This window comes from Homo sapiens, chromosome 2 (genome assembly GCF_000001405.40).
Source record: "Homo sapiens chromosome 2, GRCh38.p14 Primary Assembly".
Classification (NCBI taxonomy): domain Eukaryota; kingdom Metazoa; phylum Chordata; class Mammalia; order Primates; family Hominidae; genus Homo; species Homo sapiens.
The window spans coordinates 237509434-237525992 of NC_000002.12; the positions used below are offsets into that span (position 1 = coordinate 237509434).

Below are 16559 nucleotides of genomic sequence, written 5' to 3' on the forward strand. Positions count from 1 at the left end.
GGGGTGGCCTCCAGGTTTTCTGGTTGGTGCAGAGCTGGCAAGGGTGGAAATGGAGGGAGTGAGGCCCTTCCCATCTGGCTCCAGGGACTTGTGCTCCTCTGTTTGGGACAAAGACTTTACCTTGTCAATGCAGCTTTATCTAAACTGTAGTCTGTGGATGGCGGTATCCCCCTAGATTCCTACAACTGCTTGACCCTTTTTCTCTTGGTTTTTGAAGCTATGACAAGAGCCTGATTTCGTGTCCATCTCAGTGAACATTTTTGTAAATAGTGGAGAGAGGAAAATCGTGAAGTTCAGCCAATTGCACTTGAAACCGGAGGTGGCCTCCCCCTGCCTGGTGGGACTCCTCCACTCTCTTCACCTTTGCTGCACTCTGGGTGTCCGCCTCCAAATCAGTGTGCTTCAGAGTTCTCAGAAGACAATGGCACCTAGTGTCCTTCTTGTTTTTGTCACTAAGAATGGATTAATTTTATCTCATCTGAAACTGAAAATATTACGTTTGGCAGACATTCTCTGAAATCTAGAACAAAAGAAATGTGTTCATTATCATCTAAGGATACACTTTCCAATCAGTTCAACTTGGCAGGTTCACCAGGAAGCTGTGTTATTTAAACTCGGATGGTCTAGGAGAACTGTAGACTTCCGGGTGCTAGATGATTCCTGCTCTGGAAACTCACCGAGCCATTTCAGCTGCGCTCTAGAGGAGCAAACCTGGGGCGTTAGCTCAACTCTTGCCCCCCTGCTGAAGGAGACCAAAACAATGCTTGATCAGGAAACACCATCTGGCTTTGCCCCCAGGATTCTGTGACTGCCCTGGGGAGGGCGCAGTGACCTGCCAACCAAAATTGGTACAATTGTAAACAGCCACAGAAATGCTTAAATGCAATATCATTTCTATGAAATTAACGTGTTTCCATTCCATTCCAGCCACCAAAATTGCCCGTTTGAGCTCAGCCCTCAAAACAAAGATGCCTGTGTGGCTTTGCCCAACGTTGGGTCACTGTTTTCTGCATAGGAGACAGTTACTGTGTGTGTGTATGTGTCTGTGTCTGTGTGTGTGTGTATGTACGTGTACACACTTAAAGCCTGTTGCAAAAACAAGATGCCCAATATATTTCTTGTTTCTGATATTTTCCCAAGGGCGTTGAAGGGCAAGATTAAGAAGGAAAGCTCCAAGAGGGAGCTGCTTTCCGACACTGCCCATCTGAACGAGACCCACTGCGCCCGCTGCCTGCAGCCCTACCAGCTGCTTGTGAATAGCAAAAGGCAGTGCCTGGAATGTGGCCTCTTCACCTGCAAAAGCTGTGGCCGCGTCCACCCGGAGGAGCAGGGCTGGATCTGTGACCCCTGCCATCTGGCCAGGTGAGCCCAGGCCTTGAGGTAAAATGACCTTGATAGTTTCTGGATCTGGCGTGTCCCTTCCATGGGGCTAGCTGAAGAAGGGTGGACGCACACATGCACACACTCGTGTGTGTGTGTGTGTGTGTGTGTGAGATTTATGCAGGCCTGTGTACAGCACTCAGGCAGTGCCATGAGCCTGTGCTTGTCCCTGCAGAGTCGTGAAGATCGGCTCACTGGAGTGGTACTATGAGCATGTGAAAGCCCGCTTCAAGAGGTTCGGAAGTGCCAAGGTCATCCGGTCCCTCCACGGGCGGCTGCAGGGTGGAGGTAAGGAGTGGAGAGTAAGAACGGCTTTTTGTTCCCAGGCATTTTAGGAATATTAAAGCAGGTTCCTTTGGAGTGTGCATGTGTGTGTGTACGTGTGTGTGTGCATGTGTGTGTGCACATGTGTGTGCATGCACATGCCTCTCTGTGAATTCCTGCTTCTGGCTGCTTTTTTTTTTTTTTTTTAATTTTTGTAGAGACAGGCATCTCACCATGTTTCCCAGACTGGCCTCGAACTCCTGGGCTCAAGCAATCCACCCACCTCAGCCTCCCGAAGTGCTGGGGTTATAAGTGTGAGCCACTGTGCCCTGTGAAATTGGCTCCTTTTTATGTGAGGTGCAAACCTCTGCATCCCACTGGCCTGGTCTGAGCACCTCAGAAGTCCTGGGTGCTGCTGAAGTTGCCAATATTTGAAATTATATTGTTTTCAAATCTTCAAAGTAAGTTGAGAACTCAAAGCCAAGTTTCTGAAACCCAGCTGCTGATTGAATCACCAGGGTGCTTGTTAATACTACATGTTTTCCAAGCCCTTCTTCCCTGGGACATCTGGTTTGGGGCCTAGGCTCTCTCTTTTCAACAAACATTTCACATGAATCTGGTGATTATCAAGATTTAGAGAAATCTGTTGTAATTCAGTTGTTTTCATCTTTTGAATCCAAGTATTTATTTCATGATGAATTTGAAATCCAGGCAGTAGGCTTAAACTAAACAATGTGTTCGCCTGTAAGATCCCCCATAAGGCATTTGGAAGAGATCTTTTCAGGGAGAGGGTGGGAGGATGCCGGGGGGTCTTTTGCATTTGAGTTTGAAGGGAGCTAACCCATCAGTGTTTTTGAGAAAGCTCACCTTGTCCCTGTTACCTGGAGTCCAAGGCTTCTGCCACTAAGCCCGGCCAAGCATTCGGGTGGGACAGCCGCCACCAAGCCAGGTGTCTGGGGTCTCAGTGTCCTGGATGACTCCATCTGCAAGACCAAGGCGAGTTTCTCCAGGGCCACGAGGCAGCGCCTGGCTCCGGCAGCTGGGCACGTCCAGGGCAGAGGCTGTGCTTCTGGATTGGGGCGTCCTCACCATGCCCCAGCCCAGGCGTCTCCCCCAGGCCTTCCTTCTGGAGAGACACCTTATTCGTGCCTGTCTCTTAAAGCCTCAAGTTTGATTGAAGAAGCAGAAGTTGGCATAGACACCTTTGAGCATTCAAGCTCTCGCCGGGCCTGCTGCAGGCATTTCAAGGCATCTTAGCCCATCGTTTAATTTAGGACAGAGGCCACGGAGAGGCACCGCTGGAGCAGTACACCGCACACCACAGGGTGGCTGCACTTTTTGGGTGGTGGGGTGGGGATGGGGGCAGGTATGATCAATCATCCAAACCAGGGCATTTTTAAGAGTAAAAGGAGGCTCTACTGATAACATGCTGCAACAACAGATGTGACTAGGAACGGCCGGTGACATGGGGAGGGCCTATCACCCTATTCTTGGGGGCTGCTTCTTCACAGTGATCATGAAGCCTAGCAGCAAATCCCACCTCCCCACACGCACACGGCCAGCCTGGAGCCCACAGAAGGGTCCTCCTGCAGCCAGTGGAGCTTGGTCCAGCCTCCAGTCCACCCCTAACAGGCTTAAGGATAGAAACGACACATAACACCGGGAAAAGCCATGCTGTCAAGCATCTCAGAATCTCAACCCCAGAGGCAGTCTTTAGGGACTGGGGTGGGCTCAGGAAGCTGTATTATTTCAAAGGACGCAGTGTTTCCACAGCTCAGCCCAGAGCTGCTGGAGTTCACACGGCCCACCAGAACCTGCTGACTTCAAAATCATCACCACCAAGGGGCCAGGAGGTGGCGCTGTGGGGCAACAGAAAACAGAAAACAGCTGCTCCTTGAACTTGGATTCCCAGCAGCTCCCCCAAGCGCCCACAGGGGCTGCATTCCTCCCTGCTGGACACCTGTAACTACAACATTAAAACAGGGCGCAAGCAAGGAACACAAACACTGGGAAAGCTGTGCCTTTAAAAAAAAAAAAAAAAAGGAGGGTAAAAAAGCTTAAGGTTAATGTTTTGAAACCTGACCCAGCCAGGGCCTAATGCAGACCTTGTCCAGCTAGTAAGTGGGCCTCTGGGGGTCTTCATTGAGTGAACCTTCAGAGTGCTGGTGTTTCACCAAGGCCTTCCATAGAGGACGCGGCAGGCTCTGCAGGAAGCAGCTTCGATGGCCGATGGCCAAGAAAGGAAGGGAAAACCCCTGGACTGGTCGCTGGGCACCCAGTCCCCCTACCCCCGTGCCTTCCCTTCCAGTGCCTTTCCCTCTTTCCCTCGGTGGTAGCTTTGCCTGACAGTGCAGACCTCGCCTGACGTCAACACTAGGTTCTTTATGCTCATGTGGTTTTATTTTTGTTTTCTCCTATCAAGAGTGGTCAGAAAATCTCTGTTCCATGTCAGGAACAAGGAAAATCTTTTGGAATTTTTTTGGTTTTTTTCTTTTTTTTAGCATGACTTGATCAGATAGGTAGGATAATGTTGCCCCCTTGGCCCAAGTGCAGAGTGACAAAAGGGACCAACACTAAAAGGATCCCTGAGATCCTGGGATACTTCCTCTTCATGTTCATTGTGGGGGCCGGGGACATCACCCTGACAGGTGGGTCCCCAGGCCCCAGAAAGCTCATTTCCGCATCCCTGGGTGCAGGGGGAGTTCACGGGGTCTCTGCCTGTTGGTTTGGGATGCGTCTCCTCAAGGCACTCACTGTCCAGAGAGAACAAAAATAAAACCAGGTCTGCTCTCTGGCTCTGTCATCTGGGCACGTTCGGAGCCAAAAGCCTTGACCTTCTGAAAGTTCACTGAAAAATCATCTCGTAAAAGGCAGATTCATTGGACAAAAGATTTAGAAATGTGTTTACCGTGTATACATGGGAGCCTTCAGAATACAGACCCACAGATGCAGGGAAATTGTCCATTTTTATGCTTAGGTTCAAGAAAGGGTGGACTGCGTGTGGAAAGAAGATTATATAACAAGGCCGGACCTGCTGCTAATAGGCTGAGTGGGGAACCTAGCAAGGTCTGTCTGCCTGGATTCTTCTTGGCCTTTCCTCCTCCGAGAATGGGGCGGGATGCTCTCTGGAGTGAGGGTCTTATGACCTAAAGTCAAACAAGGAAGGTCAGATAATTTCTTTTTTTATTTTTAATGTTTTTTTTTAGAGATGGGTTCTCACTATGTTGCCCAGGCTGGTTTTGAACTCCTGGGCTCAAGCAGTCCTCCCACTTGGGCCTCTCAAAGTGCTGGGATTACAAGCATAAACCGTGCATGCCCAGCCAGATAATTTCTTTATGGCTAGTTTTTACACAGAAAAGTAGAGGGAAAGAGTGATATTTGTATGTTTTATGGCTGGCTTTGGGAGAAAGGGATACTGGTTTCTATGTCCTGCCTTGGGGAAGAGGGATTCTAGTTTCTGTGGCTGGCCTTGGGGAAGAATGGGCCTGAGAGACAAGAGGGCAGGAGAAGGTCAGAGAGAAACTTTGCTTCTGAGGCTGCTGCTGAGGCCCTCATTTGGGGCATTGTTTTCTGAGCCCCAGCAGCATTGCCAGCCAGGCAGGCATCCGCTGAGTGTGTAAAAATAGACCTGTCAGAGCTCAGACACGGGCACCTGCAGGCCCCTTTAAAACCCTTGACAGCTTTTATCTTTAAGAGAAAGATTTAAGTAAAAAATGTACCATGCTGCCTCCCCCATCTTTCCTTCCACTGGGGAAACTGAGGCCCTCTGAGCCCAGGCAGGCAGCCGGTCCCCTTGACTCACCCCAGCATCTTCCCAGACATTCCTAAACAGGCAGCAAAGCAGTGAATGGCAGTGGCAGCTTCAGGCAGGACAGGCAGTAACAGCGTGTGCTTGTCACCTGATCTCAGCTGTTTGTTATAAAGTCCGTCGTTCAGATTTCCAGTTTTGCCAACTGGTTGACTATTTCTATCTCTGTATTATAAATGGAAAACTGTACAATGAGACTTAATTTTCCAACCCATGTAAAAGATCACTGCTGGCTCAGGACAGAGCCTGAGAACCCAGAGCTTCCCAAGGCCCAGTCGATGGTAGAATTGTAAGCTGGTGTGGACATCACGGAGGAGGGTGTACGGCACTCGGGGGCGGATGAAAGGAGGTGCACAGTGAGGTCTCCATCTCGCAGGAGGCTTTGGAAGATGCGTCGGTGATTGATTGAGTACATCCGCCGAATGCTCGCCAGGTGCCGGGTCCTGGGCTGTCCTGAGGGTAGTGCTGTGGAAGAGCCAGGCCCTGCTGTCCCCACTTGGGGACAGTCAGCACAGCCAGTCCAGTGAATAGGGACACTTGTGCCTCTGGGAGTGAAAACCACAAGGGAGGAGTTTCCTGCAGAGGGGCCCCAGGCCCGAGAGATGAGGATAGGATCCCCACGGGGATCACAGGTGGGCCAGTCAGGGAAATGTCTAAAACAGAAACCACGCGGTCGTTTCACATAAGGAACTGGTTGAAATGCTGTTAACTGAGAATGGGAAAAGGAGATACTGAGGTATCAGAGGTCATAACTGCAGGAGTGCCTGCATCCCCCACAACTACCAGGGGTGCAAGCAAAGGGCAGAGGCTGGGATTAATAGAAACAGGCAGCTCCAAGGAGGCCACCCAGGGGTGGGACCCAGCCCTCCAAGGCAGGGGTGCTGCCCACTGGTGCCCATGTCTCAGGGGCCGTGATGAAGCTGGACCAGCTGTCAGGGTCAAGGGCTTGGTGCTGGAAGCCACAGGAAGGGGAACATTCCTTCTCCTTCCTTTTCCCACTCTCACTCACTGCGAGCCGAGCCCTCACAGAGGAGCAGGCAAGGCAGAGGTGTGGTGTGCAGGGCCAGCTCCCACATCACAGAGCAGAGAGTGAAGGTGGCTCTGAGGCCACCCTGGGCCCTGCACCCGCAGTCCTGCTTCCCTTTGCAGTTGACAATGCACACTCCAATGCACCAATGCCTGCTTGTTCACACCTGTGACCCGTGAGGCACAGAGAGCAAGGGGCAGGTCCCAGGGCAAGGGTGTCCAGGGGCAGCAAGGCCTGGCTGGGCCCAGAGGATCTGACCTCCACAGTGCCAGCTGTGCCCTCAGCCCCTGGAGTAGAAAGGTGGATGGTCCACGGGGCCTGCTGGCTCTAAACCCTGGGGTCCCTTTCCTAAATCACTTGCCACAGCCACAGCACCGGCCAAGCCAAGGTCAGTAGGAGAAAGGAGGGAGAGACGGTGGGGCTGTGCTAGGGAGGCCAGGCCCAGGAGGTCAGTGTGAGGAAGGAGCCCTGGGGGGCAGAGAAAGGAGAGGGGGCATGAGGGCTGGGCCTCACCTCCCTTCCTGTAGTGATGAGGTCAGGCCTGCTGACCAGCAAATGCTATGAGCCTGCAGGTGAAACCATGTGTTTGGGAGAACATGACTTAGCTCTAGGCCTCATTCACACTCCACAGCTCCAGGGTCTTCCTACTGCCCAATAAGCACAATCCTGCAGACATGGTCAGACCTGTTGGTAACATTGATTGGTAACATTGGCAACTGATTGGTAATGTTGATGCAGATTACCGGTTTTTATACTGTAATTCAGACCAGCTCTAAGTGATGTTTGGATAGGTATACGAAAGGCCAGCAGAGAGCCTTCGCTGGATGTTTCTCAGTGAGTAGATGGATTGTGGGAGAGGGAGAGATGAATGGATGGATGGATGGATGGATGGATGGATGGATGGATGGATGGATGGTAGGATGGATGGATGGATGGATGGATGATAGGATGGATGGATGGGTGGATGGATGGTAGGATGGATGGTAGGATGGATGGATGGTAGGATGGATGGATGGATGGATGGATGGATAGGTGGATAGGTGGATAGATAGGTGGATGGATGGGCAGCTAAGGTGGTAGGTGAGTGGATGGATGGATGGATGGATGGATGGATGGATGGATGGATGGATAGGTAAGTGGATGGGTGGATGGATGGATAGGTAAGTGGATGGGTGGATAGATGGATAGGTGTTTGAGTGGATGGATAAATAGATGTCTGAGTGGATGAATGCATTGGTGGGTGGATGGGTAGGCAGCTGGGTAGATGTATGAAGGAGTGAGGGATGAGTGGTGGGTGGATGGATAGACGAATGGATGGATAGGTAGGCGGAGGGGTGGATGGGTAGGTGAATGAGTGGATAGATGGGTGGATGCATGGATGCATGGATGGATGGATGAACGGATGGATGGATGGATGGATAAGTAGGTGGATGGGCGGATAGATAGGTAGGTGGATAGGTGGATGGATGGGCAGATAAGGTGGTAGGTGGGTCAATGGATGGATGGGTGGGTGAGTGGATAGGTGGATGGATGGATGCATGGATGGATGGATGGATAGATAGATAAGTGGATGGGTGGATAGATGGATAGATGTCTGAGTGGATGGATAAATAGATGTCTGAGTGGATGAATGCATTGGTGAGTGGATGGGCAGCTGGGTGGATGGGTAGATGGATGAAGTCGGGAGGGATGAGTGGTGGGTGGATGGATAGATGAATGGATGGATAGGCAGGTGGAGGGGTGGATGGGTAGGTGAATGAGTGGGTAGATGGGTGGATGGATGGATGGATGGATGGATGGATGGATAAGTAAGTGGGTGGATGGATGGATGGATGGATGGATGGATGGATGGATAAGTAAATGGATGGGTGCATTGGTGGGTGGATGAGTGGGCAGCTGGATGGATGGGTAGATGAATGAAGGAGAGAGGCATGGGTGGTAGGTGGATGGATGGATGAATAAATGGATAGGTAGGTGGATGGGCAGATGGGTAGGCGGATAAGTAGGTAGATGGGTAGGTGGATGAGTAGGTAGATGGATAGATGGGCCACTGATTGATTGAGTGGATGGATGGATAAATCGATTGATGGGTGGGTGCATGGATGAAGGAGGGAGGGGTGGATGGGTGGGTGAGTGGATGAGCCACTGATTGATTGGGTAGATGGATGTATAGATGGATTGATGATGAGTGGGTGGATGAAGGAGGGATGGAGGGATGGATGGATGGATGGGTGGGTAGGTGAATACATGGATGGATGAGCCACTGATTGAGTGGGTGGATGGGTGGATGAATAGATGGGTGGAGGATAGATAGGTGGGTGTATGGGTGGGTGGATGGATTGATGCATGGATGGATGGGCTGCCCATTGAGTAGGTGGATGAGTGGATAAATGGGTGGGTGGGTAGGTGAATAGATGAATAGATTGATAAATAGGGGGATGGGTGGATTGGTAGATGGGTAGATGGAGGGATACATTGCTGTGTGGATAGGTGGGTGAATGGATGAAGGAGGGAGGGATGGGCAGGTAGATGGATAGATTAGTGGATGGATGGGTGGATGGGCTGACAAATGGCTTGTTCCCAGACTGTTTGTCCTTGGGTGGAGTCATGCAGGTATCTATTGCAGCTGGGCCTGAACTGATATCTGAAGAGAGAAGTGGAGACAGCGACCAGACAGATGAGGATGGAGAACCTGGCTCAGAGGCCCAGGCCCAGGCCCAGCCCTTTGGCAGCAAAGTAAGTCATCTCCAGCCACCCCCTCCTCAGCCACCTCGATTCCATCCCGCAGCTGGGACGTCAGGTTCTGATTTCCTGAAAACCTTGATGGCCTCTCCACAACTCCACTAGTTTCTACTGCATGAGCACCAAGAATCTGCTGCCCTTTCCCAGGCCTCAGTAGTCTCTGAGATCATTGGGCACCAGGCAGGAGCAGTGCTTCCACCATCAGAAACCTCAAAAGCAATCTGTGTGATGGGCAAAGCCTACTGAGTGTGTGGCCAGAGTCTGGGGGCACACGGGTGTAGTGAGTGCAGGGGACTGCTGTAGGACAGGCAGGGGTCCTGGAGGGCTCTCGAGGGTCCTGAGAGCAGCTGCCTTTGCAACTTTCAGAGAAGTGGACCCCTCAGGCTCTCCTCTAAGACCTTTTCTCCTTCTGGGTTTTGTTTTGTTTTGTTTGTTTTTTTTTGCCAACCATGAGCCTTGTGTTTCTGTTTTCACGTATTGTTTAACTTATTTTGGGTGGGCGAGACAAACGAGGTAACACCTGGGTTTTGGGGTGGGAAGCAAGAAGGGGAAGCAGCTGGAAGAAGGGGCTGGGTAGGTGAGCAGGGGTTCAGACTTAGATGCTTGGAGAGAAATGGGCCAGTGACATTCAACATGAACCAACTCTTTGCGGCTGCTGTGAGGGGAACGTCATCATCTTTCGTTTGAGAACATTTGATTCATGCTATTTATGAAGTTCCCAGAATGCTCTGCAGTGCCTGGAGTATTCCCTACATGATAGAGCAGTTTAAAGGATCAAAAGAATTATAATGAAATAGGGGTTTAGAACTAAATGCAGGCTCTTACATCTAAAGAACAAGGAACTATCAGGAGCTTGCCCACCTCTGTCTCACTCAGCCATCGTGCCCCGGCTATCCGAAGCCCCAGGGACCCGCCCCTCTCCCAGCCCTGGAACAGCTTGCCTGCCCCCTAGGCGGGGTCCCTGGGGCAAGTGCAGGGGTTCAGCTCAGTGTTCCTTCAGCTCAGCCAAGTTTCTGGAGATGCAGATCCTGTATCCTGGGTGGGATGGGCACCGTGAGCACCAACCAGTCCCCCAACCAGCTCCCCCTCTGGGCTTGGTCAGGTTTGTTCCTAGTGGAGGGGGTGGATGTGCTGGGAGAGGAGCCTGCCCCGCCCCTCTGGGGGCTGAGTGTGGGGTTGGGGAGGTGCAGGGTATTTGGTCCTCTCCCTCAAGCTAGCCCTGACTTGAGTCTTGCCCTGTCTTGTGCCTGCTAAGAAAAAGCGCCTCCTCTCCGTCCACGACTTCGACTTCGAGGGAGACTCAGATGACTCCACTCAGCCTCAAGGTCACTCCCTGCACCTGTCCTCAGTCCCTGAGGCCAGGGACAGCCCACAGGTCAGTGGGTCCTCGTGTCTTTCCCCTGCCCCTCCCAGGAACCTGAGTGGCAGGTGCTCAGGCCCCAGGTGAGGGACAGCACTCTGGAAGCAGTGTCTGATGGCCACACAGTCCCACCTGGCTCCCAAGGCATGACAGGGAAGGGGACCGATGTGGGAAGACAGGATCCAGAGACCTCACACTCCCCCAGGATTAGCATGTCTGGAGATATGAGCAGGCAGCTTGGAGAAGCAGGGGGCGATGCAGGGCCCTGAGACTGGACAGATGAGTTGGGGCCCAGGGATCGGTGCTTGGGACAGAAATAAGGCAGAACCCCCGAGACTCAGGAGGGCGGGACAGAGAAGGGCATCTGAGGTGGAGTCAGGCAGGGCCTGCTGTGATGCCTACATCTCCGTCTTACTGGGAGGGGAACATACACTTTATTGCCCAAACTAGGACAGTCCTGTGATGCTGGCAGCTATTAATGATCACACCTAGACACAGGGCATGCGCAGGGGCCATCCAGGTGAACAGGACATGTGGCCGCCTTACTCATTAGCTGTGTGGCCTTTGTCCCTGGAACCTCTTCAAGGGCTGATTAGTGGTAGTTGCTGGTTGATTATTATTTGTTAGTATTTATGTTGCAATTGAAATTACTCAAGATAATAGATTAGATAATTAGGAGTAGGATTAGAAGGGATGGGATAAAAAAAGAGAGAAAGTAGAGTTTAATCAGGCCTTTCTGAGTAGATACGGTAATGGAGGCTGAAATTTGGGTTTGCATAAAGGTCTTTGGTATAGACTTTTCTAGTTAAATTAGGTTTGGAAGTGAAGCCAGATTTTGGCTTGTGAATAGCCTTGAGTTGGGGGTTGTATGGTGAATTGTGGCTGAATAAAATCCTAGTATGTTGGAGAAGTTAAATATCTGTAATGGGTATTTTAGTTTAAGGTTATTAGTTATGAGATTAAGCTCCATTGCTAGCAAGAAGCCTAAGGTGTTTACACCTAGGGCTGCGAGCTTCAGGTGGAGTGGTATGGTTGTTTGGGGGAATGAAGCAGGAATAATACTGTTGGTGATGAGGAATCCAGCAAAGATGCTGCCGATTGTTAGATGCTTAATTGAGTTAATTAGGAAGGGGTTATTTTTGTTAATAGTAACCAGAGTCGTGTAGCGAGGTTGTCCTATTAGAGCGAAGAAAACAATATGGGTACTATAGACAGCTGTTAAGGAGGTGGCAATAAGAGTAATAGAAAGGGCTCAGGCATTGCTGTATGATGGGCTTGCGGTATCCATGATGAGGTCTTTGGAGTAAAAGCCTGTGAGGAAAGGCATGCCTGTAAGTGCAAGGCTGCTGATAACAAGGGAGGAGGAGGTGAGGGGTAGAGTCTTGAATAGCCCTCCTATTTTTCAGGTGTCTTGTTCATCCATCATTGATGTTATGGATGATGGACCCTGAACCTATAAATAATATAGCTTTAAAAAGGCGTGGGTGCAGATGTGAAGGAATGCTAGGTGTGGCTGATTAATGCCAATTGTGACTATTATAAGGCCCAGCTGACTTGAGTTGGAGAATGCGATGTTTTTTGATATCATTTTGTGTTAGAGCATAGATTGCTGTGAGTATGGTAGTAACAGCCGCCAGACAGAATGTAAAGGTTTGGATTGATAGATTCTTTTCTATTGAAGGGTAGAAGCAGATGAGCAGGAAAACTCCAGCTACAACTATAGTGCTGGAGTGGAGCAGGGCTGGGACTGGGGTTGGGCCTTCAAACACCTGCTATGACTATAGTGCTGGAGCGGAGCAGGGCTGAGACTGGGGTTGGGCCTTCAAACACCTGCTACAACTATAGTGCTGGAGTGGAGCAGGGCTGAGACTGGGCTTGGACCTTCAAACACCTGCTACAACTATAGTGCTGGAGCGGAGCAGGGCTGAGACTGGGGTTGGGCCTTCAAACACCTGCTACAACTATAGTGCTGGAGTGGAGCTGGGCTGAGACTGGGGTTGGACCTTCAAACACCTGCTACAACTATAGTGCTGGAGCGGAGCAGGGCTGAGACTGGGGTTGGGCCTTCAAACACCTGCTACAACTATAGTGCTGGAGCGGAGCAGGGCTGAGACTGGGGTTGGGCCTTCAAACACCTGCTACAACTATAGTGCTGGAGCGGAGCAGGGCTGAGACTGGGGTTGGGCCTTCAAACACCTGCTACAACTATAGTGCTGGAGTGGAGCTGGGCTGAGACTGGGGTTGGACCTTCAAACACCTGCTACAACTATAGTGCTGGAGCGGAGCAGGGCTGAGACTGGGGTTGGGCCTTCAAACACCTGTTACAACTATAGTGCTGGAGTGGAGCAGGGCTGAGACTGGGCTTGGACCTTCAAACACCTGCTACAACTATAGTGCTGGAGCGGAGCAGGGCTGAGACTGGGGTTGGGCCTTCAAACACCTGCTACAACTATAGTGCTGGAGTGGAGCTGGGCTGAGACTGGGGTTGGGCCTTCAAACACCTGCTACAACTATAGTGCTGGAGCGGAGCAGGGCTGAGACTGGGCTTGGACCTTGAAACACCTGCTACAACTATAGTGCTGGAGTGGAGTAGAACTGAAACTGGGGTTGGGCCTTCAAACACCTGCTGCAACTATAGTGCTGGAGCGGAGCAGGGCTGAGACTGGGGTTGGGCCTTGTATGGTGGATGGGAGTCAGGGATGGAGGCCGAATTGAGCTGACTTTCCTGCTGCTGCTAAGAGAAAGCTAATTAATGGAAGGGGTTGGGGGTGGGGTCTGGAATAAATATGTGTTGACATTCTCAGTGTTGGAGGACAGGAGGAACCATGCTATAGCTAAAATAAAGCCAATATCACCGATGCGGTTGTACTGGACTGCTTGAGGGCTGCTGTATTAGCATCTGCTCGGCTGTACCATCAGCCGATTAGTAAGAAAGACATGAGTCCTACACCTTCTCATCCAATAAAGAGCTGAAAGAGGCGGTAACCAGAATTAATATTGTGATGAGGAAAATAAGTATTTGAAAAGTTGATTAATGTTTGGGTCTGAGTTTATATATCATATTGAGAATTCTACAATAGATCGGATAATGAATAGTGCTGCTGGGATAAATATTGTGGAGAAGTGGTCTAGTGTGAAGCTTAGTGAGGGTTTGAGAGTCTGGATTGTCAGTGTGAGATAATGGCTTCTTGGTCTGTGTATATAAACATCGTTGTAGGGATGACTGTAATGATGAAGGCACATGCGATAGATGTTTTTATGTAATTTGGGTATGAACCTTTTTTGCAGGGGTTGGCTAAGGTAACAGTAATTGGTAAGATTAAGGGGATTAGGGCTGTTATAGCAGCGGAATAATTCATGTTTGCTATTTTTATTTGGAGTTGCACCAATGTTTTTAGTTCCCAAGACCAACGGTAACTCTAATCCTTTAAAAGCTGAGAAAGCCATGTTGTTAGACACAGGGGCATGAGTTAGCAGCTCTTGCATACTTTCTCCATAGATAAGAAGTTGCAGGCTTCTATTGTTAGGTCCACAATCTAATGTTTTGGTTAAACTATAGCTACAGCATGCAAACCCCATAATTTAGGGTTTAAGGATAACAGGAAGATGGGCGCAAGATGTATAAGTATTAACGTATTTTCTCGTGTAAAGAAGGTTTAATACTGTTAATATACAAGTGTCCCTCGTTGTGTTGTGATTAGCATATATAGGGAGTAAAGGGCTGTAATTAGTATATTAAGTCCTATAAGCATAACAGTGATAGTTGATCAGGAGAACGAGGCCATAGTCACAAAGAGTTCTCCTACTAGATTACTGATAGCGGGTAAAGCAAGATTAGTAAGATTTGCTAGAAGTCATCAAGAGGCTATTTACTGGGAGCAGTGTTTGAAGGCCTCGGGTAAGTAATATGGTTCGGCCTAGGGTTAAAATAGTTACTAATACAAGGCCTGTGCTGATTATTAGTGTCAGGTGGGTTGTTTGAAGGGCTCATGGCAGGAGTAGTAGTAGAGTGATCTCTAAGTCGAACAGGAGGAACGTGATGGCTACTAGGTAGAATTTTATGGAAAAGGAGAGGCAGGCTGAGGCTATTGGGTCAAATCCTCATTGACAGGGGCTGGATTTTTCTATATAAATATTAAGTTGCGGGAGCCGAAATGCGATTATTAGTAGTAATAGGGCTAGTAAGGTGTCGGTTACTAGGGCCAGTGTCAAGTTGATTATTTCCGCCCTACAGGATCATTTCAAGGATGCTGTATTAGGGTTTTCTTAGAGGGACAGAACTAATAGAATATATATATATATATATAAAGGGGAGTTTATTAAGTATTAACTTACACGATCACGAGTCCCACGATAGGCTGTCTTCAAGCTGAGGAGCAGGGAGAGCCAGTCGGAGTCCCAAACTGAAGAACTTGGAGTCCGATGTTCGAGGGCAGGAAACATCCAGCACAGAAGAAAGATGTAGGCTGGGAGGCTAGGCCTGTCTTGTCGCTTCACGTTTTTCTGTCTGCTTTATATTCACTGGCGGCTGATTAGATGGTGCCCACTTGATTAAGGCTGGGTGTGCCTTCCCCAGCCCACTGACTCCAATGTTAATCTCCTTTGGCAACACCCTCACAGACACAGCCAGGAACAATATTGCATCCCTCGATCCAATCAAGTTGACACTCATTACTAATCATCATAGATGCTGTACCTGGAAGGCATGAGACTCACAGGCAGGCAGTGAAGGTAACTATGGGCACAGAGCCAGGCCCAGGCCCAGGCCCAAGGCCGGCTTCATAGTGAACTTCTGAACTCCATTCCCAGCATCCCCTGGGCACAGGCAGTGCTGAGCCAGAGCTGGGGCGGGGCTCGGTCCACCCAGGCCGGTCTGAAGACCCCTCCAGGAGGAGGGGGAAGCAGGGTGGGTCCTGGAAGCCAGCAGCCAATTGGTTTCTGGGCCACAGGTCCTGCTCTAACTGGAGGCTGTCCTAAGTGCGCATTTCCTCTGGCCTCCACCCCCCACTCACAGTCAAACTGGAAGGGCGCTGTGGCATATTGCTTCTTGAAGCCCTCAGTACCTCCTTTCCTTGGGGACAATGACATAACACAGACACCCCTCTGCTGGAGGGATGTCCGGATTACAGCCAAGGAGCTGCCAGGAAGCCCCAACCCACTTTTCTGATCTTCAAAGATTAAGGTGTACATAGTTAGTAACAGTGCACCCTTCTCCCAAAAATATTAACTTCCCTGCCCACGTCCTCAGAGCTTTGGTCTCTGGGTGAGTCTGAGCCCCTGAGGCTGTGTCAGGAGAGTTTTGATCCCTTTGTGTCATGCCTGGCCCAGGGTGTCGTTGGGGGCCCCAACATTGCACAGACACATGCAATAGGCAGTCAGTAGGCAACAAATAGGCAATATATGCTTTAGGCACAGTCTTTGAAATTAAACAGAACTGAGTGGCAGGGGCCAGCGCAGATGGGTGCCTAGTGCTGGGTCAGTCAAGTGCCTGGAAAGCCTCAGGGCTTGGATTGAAAGACCCACATTCCAGGCAGCGGCCCCTCCTAGTAAACCCTGCAGAGGAGGCTGACAGCCCCATGTGCTTAGTCCCTCACAGATGAGTCCTGCTCAGAGAAGGCAGCCCCTCACAAGGCTGAGGGCCTGGAGGAGGCTGATACTGGGGCCTCTGGGTGCCACTCCCATCCGGAAGAGCAGCCGACCAGCATCTCACCTTCCAGACACGGCGCCCTGGCTGAGCTCTGCCCGCCTGGAGGCTCCCACAGGATGGCCCTGGGGACTGCTGCTGCACTCGGTAGGTGCCCTTGGCCAGGGTCTTCCTGATGGGCTCGGCATGGGGGAGCAGGTCACTGAGGAACAACCCCACCACCCTGACCTATCCAACACACGGGCTGATTTGAAAGGCCCCTTCCTTTGGCGTGATTGTCCGGGACGTGCAGTCCCAGCAAACACCGTGGACACCTGCCGTCCCCGGGACCGGG

At 50.7% G+C, this 16559-nt stretch overlaps 1 protein-coding gene, 1 non-coding gene and 2 pseudogenes across 20 annotated transcripts in view, besides 5 other annotated features; 2 read left to right on the top strand and 2 right to left on the bottom strand.

The window, feature by feature from the left end:
- MLPH (melanophilin) overlaps positions 1-16559 on the top strand; it is a 68913-nt gene that overhangs the window by 23024 nt on the left and 29330 nt on the right. For 9 of the 19 annotated variants that reach the window (NR_104019.2, XM_017004893.2, NM_024101.7 and 6 more), the window contains exons 3-7: positions 1141-1362; positions 1556-1668; positions 9106-9215; positions 10477-10596; positions 16168-16372. Coding sequence is in view for 18 of the 19 variants with exons in the window: in XM_017004893.2 (XP_016860382.1) it covers positions 1141-1362; positions 1556-1668; positions 9106-9215; positions 10477-10596; positions 16168-16372 (770 nt within the window). In the remaining variant the exon portion in view is untranslated. Of the gene's footprint in view, positions 1-1140; positions 1363-1555; positions 1669-1859; positions 7314-9105; positions 9216-10476; positions 10597-16167; positions 16373-16559 lie in introns of those variants that run through there. The other 10 variants (XM_006712737.2, XM_047445809.1, XM_006712740.2 and 7 more) reach the window with 4 other exon arrangements.
- Positions 968-1468: an enhancer, noted in NCBI's record as "H3K4me1 hESC enhancer chr2:238419044-238419544 (GRCh37/hg19 assembly coordinates)". NCBI's record gives its function as "activates a minimal SCP1, AML or CMV promoter by ChIP-STARR-seq in primed H9 embryonic stem cells {active_cell/tissue: H9 hESC(primed)}" and the evidence as "EXISTENCE:reporter gene assay evidence [ECO:0000049][PMID:30033119]".
- Positions 1469-1969: an enhancer, noted in NCBI's record as "H3K4me1 hESC enhancer chr2:238419545-238420045 (GRCh37/hg19 assembly coordinates)". NCBI's record gives its function as "activates a minimal SCP1, AML or CMV promoter by ChIP-STARR-seq in naive and primed H9 embryonic stem cells {active_cell/tissue: H9 hESC(naive and primed)}" and the evidence as "EXISTENCE:reporter gene assay evidence [ECO:0000049][PMID:30033119]".
- MIR6811 (microRNA 6811) lies at positions 1498-1555 on the top strand. The gene has a single exon (NR_106869.1). It is a non-coding gene; the product is annotated as a microRNA 6811 (primary transcript).
- Positions 3350-3850: an enhancer, noted in NCBI's record as "H3K4me1 hESC enhancer chr2:238421426-238421926 (GRCh37/hg19 assembly coordinates)". NCBI's record gives its function as "activates a minimal SCP1, AML or CMV promoter by ChIP-STARR-seq in primed H9 embryonic stem cells {active_cell/tissue: H9 hESC(primed)}" and the evidence as "EXISTENCE:reporter gene assay evidence [ECO:0000049][PMID:30033119]".
- Positions 3851-4351: an enhancer, noted in NCBI's record as "H3K4me1 hESC enhancer chr2:238421927-238422427 (GRCh37/hg19 assembly coordinates)". NCBI's record gives its function as "activates a minimal SCP1, AML or CMV promoter by ChIP-STARR-seq in primed H9 embryonic stem cells {active_cell/tissue: H9 hESC(primed)}" and the evidence as "EXISTENCE:reporter gene assay evidence [ECO:0000049][PMID:30033119]".
- Positions 9949-10450: an enhancer, noted in NCBI's record as "H3K4me1 hESC enhancer chr2:238428025-238428526 (GRCh37/hg19 assembly coordinates)". NCBI's record gives its function as "activates a minimal SCP1, AML or CMV promoter by ChIP-STARR-seq in primed H9 embryonic stem cells {active_cell/tissue: H9 hESC(primed)}" and the evidence as "EXISTENCE:reporter gene assay evidence [ECO:0000049][PMID:30033119]".
- On the bottom strand, positions 11252-13916 carry MTND5P46 (MT-ND5 pseudogene 46; annotated as a pseudogene).
- Positions 14160-14496, bottom strand: MTND4P40 (MT-ND4 pseudogene 40; annotated as a pseudogene).